Here is a 14909-nt window from a genome sequence, read left to right on the forward strand (position 1 = left end):
CTAAAAAAATTCCATGCTTATTTTTATTATTTACATACTAGATAAAATTGACATGCAACCTTAAGTGTACAGTTAAATGGGTTTTGACAATTGACTATGTATCTATCATCCAAATCAAGATACAGAACACTTCTTTCATATCATTCCAGAAAGTTCTCTCACGTGTTCTTCCTCTCACCCCCTCCTTCCTCCCCATCTGACCTCTATCACCAAGATCCATTCTGCTGCCTGTTCTGGATTTTCACATGGTTGGAATTGTGTAGAATGTATTCTTTTGTGCCTGGCTCCGTTCCCTCAGGTTAGTGATTTTGAGATTTATCTAGTTAGTTGCGTGTATCAATAGTTCATGCTTTTGTATGGCTGAGTAGTATTTCATCGCACCAATGTACCACAGGAATCCAGGCACCTGCTGATGGACATCGGGTTGTTTCCAGTTCTGGGTCACTATGAACCAGCCTGCTGTGGGTGTTCTGACGAGTCTGTGTGTGAACTGGTTTTCGTGGCACCACTTGCCTCCCTCCCTCGGACATGCCACCTTCCCCTTGACCTCACTATGCACACATGCAGGTGCCACAGGGCCATGGGCTTTATGGATACCAAAAAAGCTTGCTGACTCAAATGATCTCTTCTGTGAATGCCTGAAACTCCACCACTGGCTGTCCCTTCTTTTGAGGCTACCCTCACTCTGGATGGTCTGCAATTTTATCAGAAGGAAGCTTACAAAATACCTTTCTTCTGGCCAGGTTGGGCCCTGGATAGGGCTATGGAAAGTGAGTGAAAGGAATGGAGAGAAACTTCTCCCATTCTACTATTTTCTGGGTGGCGTATCCTCTCTTGCCTTCTCTGTGTCCTCCCTAACAGTTCGTACCTGGGGTCAGACACCCCAAACTAGTCAGTGTAGGAGCTTGGCAGCCTAGGCCTGTCTATCTCCAATACTCAGCAGTTCTCCTGGAAGGAGGGAGGGAGGACCACGGGGAGTCTCCGTATCTCTGAATCTACAAGGATTCCTGGAGGCTCGGGGGTGAGGGTAATGAGGGGTGTGTGTGCTGCAGAGAGTTGAGCGACAGCCACACACAGGGATGGATCTGCTGGCCTCATGGGAGAAGCCTCTCTCTGGATCAGTGGAATAAGCCAATTTGTGCCCCAACCACTTTCCCCGCCCCGAGGAAAGAATCAGCAGGCTTTGTGTAAAGGGATTAAGGCATTAGCCTGCTCAGCAGGGAGAAGGGCTCTTGACTCTGTGGCAGTGTGGCCACGTTTCCATGTGTCCATGTGTCCATGTGGGCTGCTGTAGGCCCTGGCTCACTGGTCCCAGGACCTGTGGCTAAAAGGAGGCATTGCTGGAGGCCTCTCTTGAGAGGTGGGTACGTGGGCCATGCTGCCTATGCCCTCCTCAGGTCCCCAGAAGGAGCACTTCCAAGGGGTGCTGAGTCGGGGGAGGTGGGCAGGAAAAGATGCCAGGGAAAGTTCTGAGCCCAGGTAGGAGTGACAGTGATGTGTGGTGGAGATCCTACAGCCAAACGAGGAGCAGTTAACAATGCCACTTCAAAAACAGCGCCTGAGGCTCAGAAAGAAGGTGTATCTTGCCAACCATCACACAGCAAGTCACCAGCAGAGCTGAGACCAGAACCCAAGCTCCTGGTCCAGGGCTCAGTCATTGATTGTTCCAGCCACACGTGGCTGGTGCCAGGGGCCCGTCCGGTCTACTCCCTGCGGTGACTCTTTCTCCTGCCTCCCAACTCCAGAAAAGGATCCTGCTGGGGAGCCTGGGGTGAGATCCCAAGAGCCTTTCCGTGTGGACGTGGACATAGTGGGGTAGGTCGAGAGACCAAAGCAGGATTCTAACAGGCCTGGACATATGTCATGGGCCATCAAGACCATCTGCATGAAGGTCTTTTGCTACAGAAGTGAGGTGGCTTTTTGCAGCTGCTCAGGAGAACAATCTGGCGTAGAAGTGGGAAGGTAAGTCTGGGTCTTTCTGGAGTACGATTGGCCCTTGACCAGTCTCAGGGACGTGTGTCCAGGCCCTGTGAGGAGAGGGACCACAGGCAGAAGGGGCAGGAGTGTTGGAGCCAGCCAATGGAGCTTTGAGTCCTAGGTGGGGTGTGGTTCCCAGTGGAGGCCTTCCCCCATCTTCTCAGAACCCAGCATGGCTTCAGCACTGTGTGGATGACAGGGAGCTGACTTTGTAACTTTGGAGGAGATTGGGAAACAAGGCCCTTTGGGCAGAGGACATCACAAGGGGCCCAGAGATGGAGAGGAACAAATCCTGCGGCTCTGCCTGCTCCCTGTCCCCTGCACTTCACTTCCCCTCACCTGCCCAAAGACAGATCCAAGCTAGAGGCCTGGTCAGGCCCTGGAGAAAAGCTGGGGGGTTCGGGAGGAGAGGGTGGAGCAAGATTGGCCCACACTACATTGCCTTCCCCGCATCCTCGCTTGCACCTGCCAGGGCCTGCATGAGCCTCCTCAAGGGCCTGGGCTCAGGACCCCAGAGCCAGCAAGGAGCCCTGCGCTCCATTTCTGTGTGGCTGGCCTGGGAAAGGCCTCTGTCTCCTCCGCTGTAAAATGGCATGTGGAGGGGGAGAGGGAGGCCAGGACTACGCCCACGTGGGTCCCTCCTCATAGACCCAGCCTGCCTTCCCAGCTCGAGCCCCTGAGACAGCCCCCATTCGTCTCCCCTTTTCAGCGGACCACCTCGTTCCACGTTCTAAGATCAAACTCTTGGTACTTGGGAAGGACCTTAGAAAGCAGCTGATGTGCCGTGTCTGTTGTTCAGATGGGGACAGTGAAGCACAGGGAGGTTTGGCCTTGCCCCTCTAGGGAGTCTGTAGCAGCGCTAAGACCAGGGCCCTGTGCTCTGGTGTCAGGCCTGCTCTCCCCTACCCCTTGGCGCTTCTGAGCAGGAGGCAGACAGCATTTTCTCTGATCTGAGCAGGGGGCGTGGGGGTGGGGGTGGCTGCCTCCTCCCTCAGGGGCCCCAGGCTAGTCCAGACAGGCTCGGCAGGAATCTGCTCTGGTTGGAGCCGCCTCCCTGAGGGCTGCCCCAGGCGGGGCCCGGGGCCTCGAGGTCCTGGGGACGTGCTTTCTGTTTACTTTCTGCCGGGCTTCCACAGCGTTGTGGTTTCCACTTGGAAGGGCTGCAGTGGGAACTGAGGGGCCTGCTCCGGGGGCTGAGCTGCATCTGTGGGAAAGCCCTGCAGCCGCTCTGCTGCTGAAAGTTTGGAATTCAGCAGACCCCATCCCTGAATTCCCATGCGGTGGGCTCAGCCCTGGCTCTTCCAGCTACTGGCTCTACCCGGGCCAGTTTAGAGTGAGAGGGTGGCCAGATCCTCCTGGGGGTGAGTCAGAGAGATCTTCCCATTTAGAGAGGATCATCACCTATTTCACAAACAGGGAAACTGAGGGAGGAGAGGGGCAGGAACTTGTCCAAGGCCACTCCTCGTCCATGGCAGAGCTGGGACTGGAACGAGGCCACCTGGTTCCCAGCCCAACTTGAAATCCCCTCATCCCTTTGGGCTTCTCTGGGGTAGGGTGGACACTCCGGGATTCCTGAAGCCCTTAGTTTCCCATGACTTCCCTCTGGGCTGGGGCATGGTGTGTATCCTGGAAGGGGCCTGGCCTTCCCCACTGTGCCCTGGCCACGACCCCGGCCCTGGGCAGAAGGGAAGCTGGGAAGAGGCTGCCCTCTGCTCTTGTTCTCCCTGGGGTCTCCTTGGCCTGTCTGCTGGGGGAGCCCCCCCAGTCCCTGAGAATGTGACCCGCTGCTGAGAGGCCTATAAGTCTCCTCCCCATGCGGGCTCTGCAGTGCCCAGGTCTGGGAACCAGAACTTGGATTTGAATTCCAGTTCCTCTGTCTATTGGCTGAGGGACCTGAATTTCCTAGTCTTTAAAACAGACGTATACCACTCCCCGCCTTACAGAGGATAATGGGAGTGAAGTGCCAGGTGAGCTGTGAGGGGCTCAGCCTACACACTAGACTTGAGGCCATTGGCCACCGGCCTGCTCACAGCAACAGCTAGGAAGGGGCTGAAGTCCCATCTTGCCTAGACAGGCCTGCCACCACTAGGGCTGTGGCAGAGGCCCCCAGAAGGTGGGGAGGAGGGCGGTGACAGTGCCAAGCCCTCCCTGCAGAGTTCTTGCCTTCTCTGGGGAGCGCCGAGGCAGTGTGCTGGGGTGCGGGTGGCCTGGTGGGTGGCCCCACTTTGTAAGGCCCATCTTATTCTGTGCTCTCTGTGAGGGGAGCTGATAATTGAGCCATTTCTCAGGGAGATGACCCTGATTTTTATGAATCTGCAGGACGAAGGAAGCAGCGCTGTCCTGCTGGGGAGACTGTGAGAAGGAGGAGATGAAGGGGAAGTTGCTTATCTTCCCAGTCTTTCCACTTGGGAGACTGTTTGGCGTGTGACGAGGGAGGAGAAGCCAATTTGAAGCCTCTTGGAGGAGGAGGTCTCTGCTGTTGCTGTCCCTGGCACAGCCTTGCCCCTCATCCTCTCTGGCCACCTGCCTCCTTAATCCATTTAACGCCTCTTCATCGCTGTTTTTTTTTTTTTTTAATACTTTTCCTGAGCTGGGGCCCCCAGGGCCTCCTTGATGGCGAATGGTCTCGGCAGCCCCTGGGCTGTTCCTGGGAAGGGACAGGCTTCAAGGTCAGGCTGCTGCTGGCTGACCTTGAAAGCTTCCGCAGGCAAGCCCCTGACATGCCTCCACTCTCCAAGCTCAGCGAGCTCCATCACATTAAAAAGCTGTTAAAAGCGCCCGTCTGGTTGGCTGCCTCTGAGGCTCTGCGGCCGGTGGTGGGGAAGGCAGCCTCAGTTCAGGGATGAGCTCCGCTAGAGGCGCGGGTCTGCCCTGGGGACCTAGGCCTGGGAACCGCCTGGCAGTTGCCCACCCCTCCATTCTTACTTGAGGGAAGGCAGTGGGAGGATGACACTTATCCTGAGCCACACAGTAGCCTAAGTGCTTTTAGATGGGTGAGCTCACTTCATCTTTACAGCCGCCCTGTAAAGTAGGGCTATTAGGAACCCCATGTTGCAGTTGGGCTCAGGAAGGTTAAGACACTTCTCTAGGGTCACACAGCGAGTAAACAGATGAGGAGACCCTCAGCCCCTGAACTCACTGGCTCGGGCCTCACCCGAAGGGTTCTCAGTGTCCACCTACCCACTCTGCACATCGTGCCCGGTGTGGGCCTCACCTGTGGTGGCCTTCTCTGGGCCGTGGCTTGCCCTGCACTCATGGGCACAGAAAGCTTCTCCCCTCTGGAGATGACCGGGGCTTTGGCCTCGGTTGCTGTGTGGCCATGGACAAGCCCTTGGGCCTGCCTTTCCTCAGGTCAGGAGTCTGGGAGGGGTGTGGAGAGTAGCGGGTGGTTATGGCTGGGCTTCAGGGCTCTTTATTCAATTCGAAATAAACCTAGCTGTAGGCTTCCATGGTGGCTTCATAGGCCTCCCCAGGCCTTTTGTTTGCCTGCTAATGGTTTCTAGTGCCCCTGCAGGGCCTGGCAGGTTCAAAGCTCACTCAGACTAGCAGCTAGCAGACTCCTAGGCTGGGGAAGGCTATGGACCTTCCTCCTTCACCCAGCCTGGCCCAGTCTCCCTGGGGACACACCACAAGCATGAGGTGGGGTAGGGGCAGCATGGGGTGGCACAGGGTGAGGGTAGGAGAGGTGGAGGAAGAAGACTCCTCCCAGGGGAGGTGAGAGGGCTGGATGCCCCCACTCCCACTCTGCTTCTGGTTGTGATGAGCCCCATGTGACTCCATCATTTGTGAGACCTTCAGATTTGCCCAGGAAGGCCCATCTGCCCATGGGCAATTTTAATGCCAAGGCATGATCTGTTCCTCTCTCTCCACCTTTCCCCCATCATCGCCTCCCACTCTTCTCCCATTCCTCTGCTCCAGCCACACCAGGCTCCCTGCTGTCCACAAGCACCCCAGGCCCACTGCTACCTCAGGCCCTTCGCACAGGCGGCTCCTCTGCTGACAGACTCCTCCCATTGGGTCCACATGGCTGGCTCATTTCCCCAGCTCCTTCAAGTCTCTGCTTGATGTTCATCCTTTTTTTTTCTTTTTTTTTCTGAGATGGAGTCTCACTCTGTCGCCCAGGCTGGAGTGCAGTGGTGCGATCTCGGCTCACTGCAACCTCTGCCACCCGGGTTCAAGCAATTCTCCTGCCTCAGCCTCCCTAGTAGCTGAGATTACAGGCGCATGCCACCACGCCTGGCTAATGTTTGTATTTTTAGTAGAGATGGGGTTTCACCATGTTGGACAGGCTGGTCTCAAACTCCTGACCGCGTGATCCACCCCCCTTGGCCTCCCAAGGCAAGGAGGGTGGAATGTGCTGGAATTACAGGCATGTGCTGCTGCACCCAGCCTGATGTTCATCTTCTCACCAGACCTGCCCTGAACATTCGACTTTAAACCGCCTCCGCCTGGCCCTCCCCATGTCCTGACCCTGCTCTGTTGCATTCCACAGATGTATTGCCTTCTGGCACTTTGTAATTAACTTACTTATGTTGTTTCTCCTTCTCCTGCATTAGAATATAAACTCTAGGAGGGCAGGCATTGTTGTTTGCTTTGATAACATTGAAACCCTCCCCAGTACTTAGCACAGTGCCCAAACACAGTGTAGGTCCCTGAGAAACACCTGCGGAATGAGTGAGCAGATGAGTGGATGGGTTTCAGTACATCTTAAAGCAAAGTATCTGTAACATTTGTCTCTTTAGGGACCAGAGAATGGGGCGTTGGAAGACCTAGGTTGGAGCCTCACCTCTGCCCTATCTTCGCTGTGTGACCTTGAGCAGGTCACTCTAACTCTTGCCGCCTCAGCTTCCTAACAGCGCCCCTGCCCGGCCTCTCTTGCAGGCCCACAGAATGAAAAGAGAGGAGTTCCAGGAAAGGGTTTGGCAGATGGCATCCCTGCAGGACTGCCTCGCGGCGCTCTGCCCCATCCAGCCCCTACGTACTGGCCATGTGACCTCAATGTTTGATGGACTCACTTGGCCTCTCTGAGGCTCGCTTTCTCCATCTCTAAAATGGAGGATGAAGCAGGTTCAGCCCCACGGGCAGGCAGCACTATGCCAGGGACATGGCGAGCCCTCTGGAAAAGTTCACCTGATCCAGACGTTGCTGGGTCAACGGGAAGGAATGACTTTCACTCCTCTGCTTCAAACCACCAGACTGTCCTTGGCCCTCCCTAATGAAGGAGCAGAGAACAGCAGAGTGGGCAGGGACCTTGGAGGTCAGCAGGGTGGCTGCTCAGCCCAGAGGCAACCGGGAGCTCGTCCCAGGGTGTGACAATTCAGTCAGCCCTTTACTGAACACTCGGCTTTAAACCGCCTCATGCCTGGCATGAGGAAGGCACCGTGCTGGAGGGTTTCACCACGGTTCTCTGTGTGTCTCCGGGGAGCTCACTGTCCTGTCTGAGGCCCGTCCGGGGTCCGGACAGTGGAGCTTTCAGGTTCGTGCGCACCCTCTGCCTGCCTCTTCTCCCTGTCAGTAAGGACGTGGGTGTGGCTGGGAGGCAGATCCTGGGTGGAGAACGGAGCTCCTGGTTCTGAACAGTTTGAGGGTCTGGAAGTCCTTTAAGAAGATGGTGAAAACTATGGACCTTCTCCCCAAAGAGAAGCACACATCCACATCCAGAGGCAAAAACCCCATCGCTCAGAACCCCGTGGATGAGGCAGTCATTATCCAGTGGTGCTGTCACTATGGCTGGGGCTGGCCTTGATCTCTGTTGCTGGATTCCACATGTTCATTCTCTCTGGCCACATTATCAGATCTCTAGCTCCAACATCCTGTGTGATACCAGGATGGCCATTGCCATGATCTTGTCCACGGGTCCACTTTCAGCAGCTGGGCCCTGGAGGGCAGCACACAGCTCATGATTGGGTTGGAGATGGGGGAGTCAGGGGCAGATGGTGGGAGCTGTCCCCAGCCCTGCCTCTCTTAGGACCCTCCTGGGACTCAGGTACATAGGGTCCCTGAGAAAGACCCAGTTTGATGAGACAGGCAGGAGGAATAAGGAAGAGTGTAGTTTAAGAAAGTTTTCTCCAGCTCTGGTTCATGCATCCGTCCTGAAAGAAGGCAGGGAAAGGATTATTCACCCATTTCACAGATGAAGAAATTGAGGCTTGGAGAGGTCACGGAGCACACAGAGCAAAGAAGTCAAAACCAGGATTTGAATCTACTCTGATTACCTCCAGAGCCCATGTCTTGTCCCAATGGATGGAAAATTCTTAACTATTTAACTCAATATTGAGCAGCTACTGTCTACAGAATTCTGTGCCAGACAGCTTGGGAGACACAGACCTACAGGGAGATATAGTTCCCACTGGAAGCACCCAGGGCAGTAATAATTATCATCATAACAAAGGAATAATAATAGCTAACATTTTGGAGCACTTACTAGGGACCAGCATTATGCTACACAGTTTTCATGGATTATCTCATTTAAGCTCTCAAATATTTTGGGGTGTAAATAACAGTATGCCCACAATTTTTGTTTGTTGTTGGTGTTCAGAAGTGTATATCCGTTTTTGAGAATGGAGGCTCAGCGAGATTAGGAGCCTTGCTCTCAACGAGGGAGGAATTCTGGCTGCGACTCTGTCCCTTACTACCTGGGCATCACCTCTGTCAAACCTGGACAGGTGCCACTTAGACCTGGCTGAGGTTGGCTGAGGCGGGGAGGATGGGGAGGTTGTGGGTAGGCAGCACCTATTCATACCCACAGTCCAGGGACTGTTCCAGAAGAATAGTATTCCCTGTGCCCTTGCCGCCTCTGAGCCTTGGTGTCCCAGCCTTTCGATCCTCTCACTTCTGATGTCCTTGAGCCATAATCTGAGCCATTCTCTAGGATAAGGAGATGCTTGAGGTTGAGTGAAAGGTTGACATTTCTGCAGGAGCAAAGAATGACTTGATGCAGGAGAGAAAGGCTGTGGGGGGAAAGTGAGTGAGGCAAATCCCCAAGGCAGAGCAGAGCCTTCCAAAGGGTGCAGGGGAGAGTCTTGGTGGAGGGGGCCAGCCTTGCTCAGCAGCCCCAACCTCAACAAGGACCCCTACCCAAGAAGGCCTGCAAAATAGCAAATCAATGAAGACAGCAATGAAAGCAATGAGGAGGGAAGAGGGACCAGAATCCCAGTCACATCATCACCCCTCACCCCTTTTTCTGGCCTCAGTTTTCCTTCTGTGAACAGAGGGAGCTGGCCCTTCTGTCATTTGCAGGATTTTCATCTCAGGCTGGCAGCAGGAGCTGGAAAAGTGAGGGAGGTCCCTCCCTTCCCCGGCCCGGGGTCTGTGATTGGCAGCACCTCCTCCTCTCTTCCTCTCCTGTCCCTTCCTTCCCCTTCCCTCCCCTGCTTTCCTTTCCCTTCCCCTCCTCCCCTTCCCTTCCCCAGTCTTCCCCTCCCACTCTTTCAAGCCCCCAGCGTGCTGTGCAGTTATTAGTTTAGGTTCATTTAGAATCGGCTTAGCAACCCCACACCCCTGGAACCTGGAAGCTTAAAGCACAAGATGTCTGGCAAATGGAAATTCAATTGCTTTAATATAGAGACTATTTTGCTGCAGTCGAACTGGAGCCTCTTATTAAGAATCTGATGGAATTTCTAAACAGGGAGAGAGGCCCCAAGGAGGGGGCATCGCCCATCACACACCAACATTGCTCTTGACATATTTATGGCTCCAATAAAATCTCACATCTGGTATATTTTAAAATAAAATTGAAAATTTATCACTTTCCCTGAGTCGGTTTGTCGTTCTCCCAAGGAGGAGATAGCCAGCCTGAGATTACAGGCGAAGCGGCAGCGGGCGGCAGGCGGGCAGAGAGGTTAGGCTGGGCTCTGATTTAAATTTCAATACTTTCCCCATTACAGCTGTCTGGGCTGGGAAAATTACTAGGGGAAGCAGGCCATGTGCTTCTCCTATTTCTCTGGACATCTACTTGGCTGTCTCTGCCAGGGTCCACAGACTTGGTCTGCTCTCCCCACTACTTAGCAAGGTTTGGATGAACCACAAAATGGGAGGAAGCCCCATCCTCCAGGCCTAGGAATCAGCATCATCCATTTGTACCTCTCTGAAGCCCAGTGGACACCTTTGGGTGCTGCTACATGGTTCGAGAGGGCCCCTCTTTATCAGGACTCAGAGATCAAGATCAGGGCTTAGGCTCAGGTGGGGAGCAGGGTTCAGTCTGTAACTAGCATTGGGGTTCAGTCTAAAACTAAGATCAGAACTTCAACTCAGGCCAGGATCAAGGATCAGTCTGTAACCAAGGTCAGGGCTCAGGCTCAGGATGGAATCAAGGTTCATTCCATTAACAAAAACAGGGCTCAGATTTCATCATCATAGAAGTCAATTCATATCTCAGAGCCTCGGTTTCTTCTCCATTCAAATGTGGAACTAGGTATTGCCCTGCTTGCTTCACAAGGCTTTTTAGAGGAATGAATGAAAACAAGAGTATTGGGCCGGGCACAGTGGCTCATGCCTGTAATCCTAGCACTTTGGAAGGCCGAGGCAGGTGGATTGCCTGTGCTCAGGAGTTCGACGCCAGCCTGGGCAACATGGTGAAACCCCGTCTCTGCTAAAAATAGAAACATTAGTCAGGTGTGATGGCACGCGCCTATAATCCCAGCTACTAGGGAAGCTGAGGCAGGAGAATCGCTTGAACCTGGGAGGCGGAGGTTGCGGTGAGCCGAGATCGCGCCATTGCACTCCAGCCTGGGTGACAGAGTGAGACTCTTTGACTCAAAAAAAAAAAAAAGAGTATCTTTCTTTTCTATAACAACTTACACTTTATAAATTGCTTGCACATACTTTATCTTGTTTGGTCCTCATGATAACCACCATTTTAAAGACAATAATACAGGCTCAGAGAGGTTAGGAAGCTTATTCAAGGCCGCACAGCCTGTAGACACAGGCAGGAAGTAGGGGCTGGGCCCAGCTGGTCCTGACTCCAAGCAGTTCCTAGAATACTGCAACGCAAAGAAGCAGTGACTGAGACTGCACTTGTCCACCCAGGAGTCATGTTCCCCTTTTTCTTTCTTTCCTTTCTTTCTTTCTTTCTTTCTTTCTTTCTTTCTTTCTTTCTTTCTTTCTTTCTTTCTTTCTTTCTTTCTTTCTTTCCTTCTTTCTCTTTCTTTCTCTCTTTCTTTCTCTTTCTTTCTCTTTCTTTCTTTCTTTCTTTCTTTCTTTCTTTCTTTCTTTCTTTCTTTCTTTCTTTCTTTCCTTCCTTCCTTCCTTCCTTCCTTCCTTCCTTCCTTTCTTTCTTTCTTTTCTGTCTTTCTTTCTTTCCTGTCTTTCTTTCTTTCTTTTTTTTTTTTTTTTGAGACAGAGTCTTGCCCTGTTGCCCAAGCTAGAGTGCAGTGGCGCGATCTAGGTTCACTGCAACCTCCATCTCCCAGGTTCAAGCTATTCTCCTGCCTCAGCCTCCTGAGTAGCTGGGATTACAGGCACTTGCCACCACGCCTGGCTAATTTTTTGTATTTTTAGTAGAGATGGGGTTTCACCATGTTAGCCAGGATGCTCTCCATCTCCTGACCTCATGATCGGTCCGCCTTGGCCTCCCAAAGTGCTGGGATTACAGGCTTGAGCCACCGCGCCCGGCCATGTTCCCATTTTTCTATGGTAACAGAACCCTTATTCTATTCTGGGGAGCAAGGTGTCCACCTAAAAGACTACATTTCCCAGCGACCCCTGCAGCCAGGGGTGGCCAATGAGATATGAGCAAGAGAATTGTTGGGCGAGGCTCCAGGGAAAGTTCTGGAAAAGGGAGACAGGTAGAGAGCATGGGTTTTCCCCCTTTCCTCTTTCTTCTTGCCTGGAATACAGATAGGATGGAGCCCAGCTGCCACTATGAACCATGAGGTGACACTGAAGATAGACAGCAGTGCTGAGGATGATTAGCCTGGAGAGAGAAGGTATTTCAGACATTGAAGGCATGGTGAAGCCACCATCCCGACCCTGGGCTGCTGACCTCTGTACAGGGGAGAGTAAAAGACACTACTAGTTTGTTTAGGCCACTATGGCTGGATCTCTGTTATCAGGAGGCAAAGGTAACTTCTGATTCAAAGGTGCTACCCTGAGAAAAAGTATGCTCACATAAGCTTGGGAAATAGCAAGTTAAACAGAATCTTTCTTGCAGGACTTCCCAAAGCCTTTAAATGCTAAACAGTTTTGGGAATCACCAAGTGGGGGAGGTACTACACCATATTTCCAGAGCTCACTTGTCATGGCACACTGTGTGTGTGTGTGTGTGCGCGCGTGTGTGTGTGTGTGTGTTTGTGTGTGTGTAGAGAGAGAGGGAGCAGGAGAGACTAGGGGTCTAGTGCTGGGAGACCACCTCCTGATGTCTGATGGGAGCTGGAAAGTGCTTTGCTCAATGCCCTCATTATTAAAACAATTGAAGACACTGACTCCTTTTTCGACTTTCTTAAGCTTCAACTAGCATTCATGATTTCAGTTCCTAAGTGTCTAAGGGATGTAGGGCCAAGCAGGGGAGGGCTAATTTGGGGACAAAGCTAGGAGAGCTGTTTGGGGTAAGAGAGTCTCCTTGTAGCTGCTGGAGCCTTTGTGGACTGGGGTTTGGCTCACAGGCGTGGGGGCTGCTACAGGGAGAAGATGACCCTGGCCACCCTTCACATCATATATAGGGCATTAGCAGCCCTGTTCCTCCCCTCTCCCCAACCTCAATAAAAGAGGGAAATAGAGGCATGGAGAATGAAAGGGGCTAGGCCAGCCAGGTCCACAGAAAGAGTGGGTGGCAGAATGGGGTCTGGAGCCAGCTGCCCATACTCCCTGCCCTTCCCCAACCTACCCCCTGCCCTCAGCTTTCTGGAAGGCTCTGGCTGAGTCATATGCCTGACACCCAGTTTCTGCCTCTGCTGCAGTGGCCGCCTTTCAGTCCTCTGTGGGGGTCCCATTGCAGGCTGTAAGATCTTGACATGCCCTTTCAATGCCATTTTAAGAGACTCAGAACACAATAGCAGTAATAGAGGCACCTGCTGCCTGGCTTGGTAATTATTACATCCCTGTGGGGGGAACTGTTGACTGCCTGGCAAAGGGGTGAAGTCTCCCCTCATTTCTTAAATAGGAGTCCTCCTTGAAGACCGTGGGCACAGCTGAGGGTGGTTAGTCACCAGTCTGTGCCCAGGAGGGAGTCAGGGAGCACCAGTGTGGCAGCCAGGTAGAGGAAATGGGGGTAGAGGGAGTCGGGGTAGGCGGTGGGGGGATGTGGTGTCCAGAATCCCAGACTGAGGATGGAGGGCTTGAGGCTCTTTTCCCCTGTTCTGTGTGGCTAAGTCCAGTTCATTCCCCAGACCTCAGTCTCTCTCTCTGTGCAATGGGAAATTGGATCAGGCCTCTAAGAATTTGTCCAGTGCGTAATTCTAAGGTTCTGCTTTTTAAGGAGATCGTAGGGAACTGAGGACAGAACAGAAAGGTGGGAACTCCTTGAGGGCAGGAAACTGGCTTGTTTCCTCTCTCAGACCCTGGCATGGTTGGGTGGAAGACCCCATCCCAGACAGAGCAGGAGGTATGGTGGTGTCCTAAGAGGGAGGGAGGAGCCAGGACAGGAGGAGAAAAGGAGGGGAGAGGAGTGGGGGAAACAGAAGCGTGAGGCCCCATCTGAAGAAAACCCAATATCAAAACTTTAACAAGAGCTTCGTAACCAAGAAATGGGCCTTTGACTTAGGAGGTGAAGGCTCATTTAAATGGCAAATTTCCCTTGTGCCTGCAAGGGCTTGTTTATAGAATGTGGAACTGAGAGTGCAGGTGGTCCCACACAGAAAACTGGAAGCTTTTCTTTTTAAACTCCCTGAAGATTCATCTGCAATGCAGATGAAGCATCTTAGAAACAAGAATGAAAACAGCGTTTGATTTTTACAAAAGCCAATTCAGAGGCTCACTTCCTGTCCAGCCCAGCGTGCCAGCATCTGTGTGTGAGACCACTGTCCCCAGCCGGGTGGGGGCCTGCACGGGTCTTGCCAAGGTCAAATGGGTGTGCACACATGACTACACGTGAATTCACTGCACATGTGTGTACACACACACATTTACTCGGATCCTCAGCAGAGTTATTTTGGATTTGGTCTTCGTGGAAGGTCCAGTCTGTGCCTAGATGTGGATTCAGAAAATTCATAGACTCTGCACAGCTACTGGTCACTAATAAGAGCCTGGAGCTGGGGATACCATGATGATCAAGAGATAACCTCTAAAAGAACTCACAGACCAGCTGGGGAGACAGGTGAATAAACACCTGGAGAACAGAGCATTATGGGAGCATCTGGCCCAGGCTTGGGAGGTCAGGGAAGGCTTCCTGGAAGAGGTGTTATGTTGGAGCTGCATACTATCCAATATGGTAGCCACTAGCCACAGGTGGCCATTTACATTTAAATAAAAAACAAATAAACAATTCAGTTCCTCAGTCATACTGGCCACATTTCAATTGGCTAGTGGACAGCATGTCGAATAGTGCAGAAATGGAACATTTCCATTGTCCAGAAAAGTCTACTGGATGGCGCTGTGAGGAGGAACAGACCCTCTCCAGGTGAGGGCCATGAGAGGTGTTCCAATTCTAGGGAGCAGCTTGTGCAAACACCTGGAAGTGGATGGCAGCATGCCCAGGGGACTGGAGCCCTGAGCACAGGTGTGAGGAGGAGGGAAACAGTGACAAGCGAAGCTAGAGAGAGTGGAAGAATTCAAATGGCAGTTAAAGGCTCTGCTTGTGTTGGCAAGGAGCTGGGATTTTGTCCTGAACATTTGGGGAGCCTTTGGAAGGGTTTCAGCTGGGAGTGGCAAGGTCAAGGTCGGGTTTCATGTTAGAAAAGCTTGCTTGGAGAAGGGACTCCGCAGGGAAGGGGCAATTGCCAGCAGCCAGGTGAGAGCCAGGTGAGAGCCAGGTGAGAGGAGGGACCTGACCTGGGAGT

At 52.7% G+C, this 14909-nt stretch overlaps 1 long non-coding RNA gene across 1 annotated transcript, besides 8 other annotated features; it reads left to right on the forward strand.

Annotated features, from left to right (window-relative positions):
• Nucleotides 916-1759: an enhancer, noted in NCBI's record as "NANOG-H3K4me1 hESC enhancer chr15:77817641-77818484 (GRCh37/hg19 assembly coordinates)". NCBI's record gives its function as "activates a minimal SCP1, AML or CMV promoter by ChIP-STARR-seq in naive and primed H9 embryonic stem cells {active_cell/tissue: H9 hESC(naive and primed)}" and the evidence as "EXISTENCE:reporter gene assay evidence [ECO:0000049][PMID:30033119]".
• On the forward strand, nucleotides 1212-9727 carry LOC101929457 (uncharacterized). The gene is made up of 2 exons (NR_135692.1): nucleotides 1212-1962; nucleotides 6720-9727. It is a non-coding gene; the product is annotated as an uncharacterized LOC101929457 (long non-coding RNA).
• Nucleotides 2604-3447: an enhancer, noted in NCBI's record as "H3K27ac-H3K4me1 hESC enhancer chr15:77819329-77820172 (GRCh37/hg19 assembly coordinates)". NCBI's record gives its function as "activates a minimal SCP1, AML or CMV promoter by ChIP-STARR-seq in naive H9 embryonic stem cells {active_cell/tissue: H9 hESC(naive)}" and the evidence as "EXISTENCE:reporter gene assay evidence [ECO:0000049][PMID:30033119]".
• Nucleotides 4290-5133: an enhancer, noted in NCBI's record as "H3K4me1 hESC enhancer chr15:77821015-77821858 (GRCh37/hg19 assembly coordinates)". NCBI's record gives its function as "activates a minimal SCP1, AML or CMV promoter by ChIP-STARR-seq in primed H9 embryonic stem cells {active_cell/tissue: H9 hESC(primed)}" and the evidence as "EXISTENCE:reporter gene assay evidence [ECO:0000049][PMID:30033119]".
• Nucleotides 5134-5975: an enhancer, noted in NCBI's record as "H3K4me1 hESC enhancer chr15:77821859-77822700 (GRCh37/hg19 assembly coordinates)". NCBI's record gives its function as "activates a minimal SCP1, AML or CMV promoter by ChIP-STARR-seq in naive and primed H9 embryonic stem cells {active_cell/tissue: H9 hESC(naive and primed)}" and the evidence as "EXISTENCE:reporter gene assay evidence [ECO:0000049][PMID:30033119]".
• Nucleotides 5976-6819: an enhancer, noted in NCBI's record as "H3K4me1 hESC enhancer chr15:77822701-77823544 (GRCh37/hg19 assembly coordinates)". NCBI's record gives its function as "activates a minimal SCP1, AML or CMV promoter by ChIP-STARR-seq in naive H9 embryonic stem cells {active_cell/tissue: H9 hESC(naive)}" and the evidence as "EXISTENCE:reporter gene assay evidence [ECO:0000049][PMID:30033119]".
• Nucleotides 9456-9957: an enhancer, noted in NCBI's record as "H3K27ac hESC enhancer chr15:77826181-77826682 (GRCh37/hg19 assembly coordinates)". NCBI's record gives its function as "activates a minimal SCP1, AML or CMV promoter by ChIP-STARR-seq in primed H9 embryonic stem cells {active_cell/tissue: H9 hESC(primed)}" and the evidence as "EXISTENCE:reporter gene assay evidence [ECO:0000049][PMID:30033119]".
• Nucleotides 9958-10457: an enhancer, noted in NCBI's record as "H3K27ac hESC enhancer chr15:77826683-77827182 (GRCh37/hg19 assembly coordinates)". NCBI's record gives its function as "activates a minimal SCP1, AML or CMV promoter by ChIP-STARR-seq in primed H9 embryonic stem cells {active_cell/tissue: H9 hESC(primed)}" and the evidence as "EXISTENCE:reporter gene assay evidence [ECO:0000049][PMID:30033119]".
• Nucleotides 13846-13895: an enhancer, noted in NCBI's record as "active region_9897". NCBI's record gives its function as "activates an Ori minimal core promoter by ATAC-STARR-seq in GM12878 lymphoblastoid cells {active_cell/tissue: GM12878}" and the evidence as "EXISTENCE:reporter gene assay evidence [ECO:0000049][PMID:35858748]".

This window comes from Homo sapiens, chromosome 15 (assembly GCF_000001405.40).
Source record: "Homo sapiens chromosome 15, GRCh38.p14 Primary Assembly".
Taxonomy (NCBI): Eukaryota; Metazoa; Chordata; class Mammalia; order Primates; family Hominidae; genus Homo; species Homo sapiens.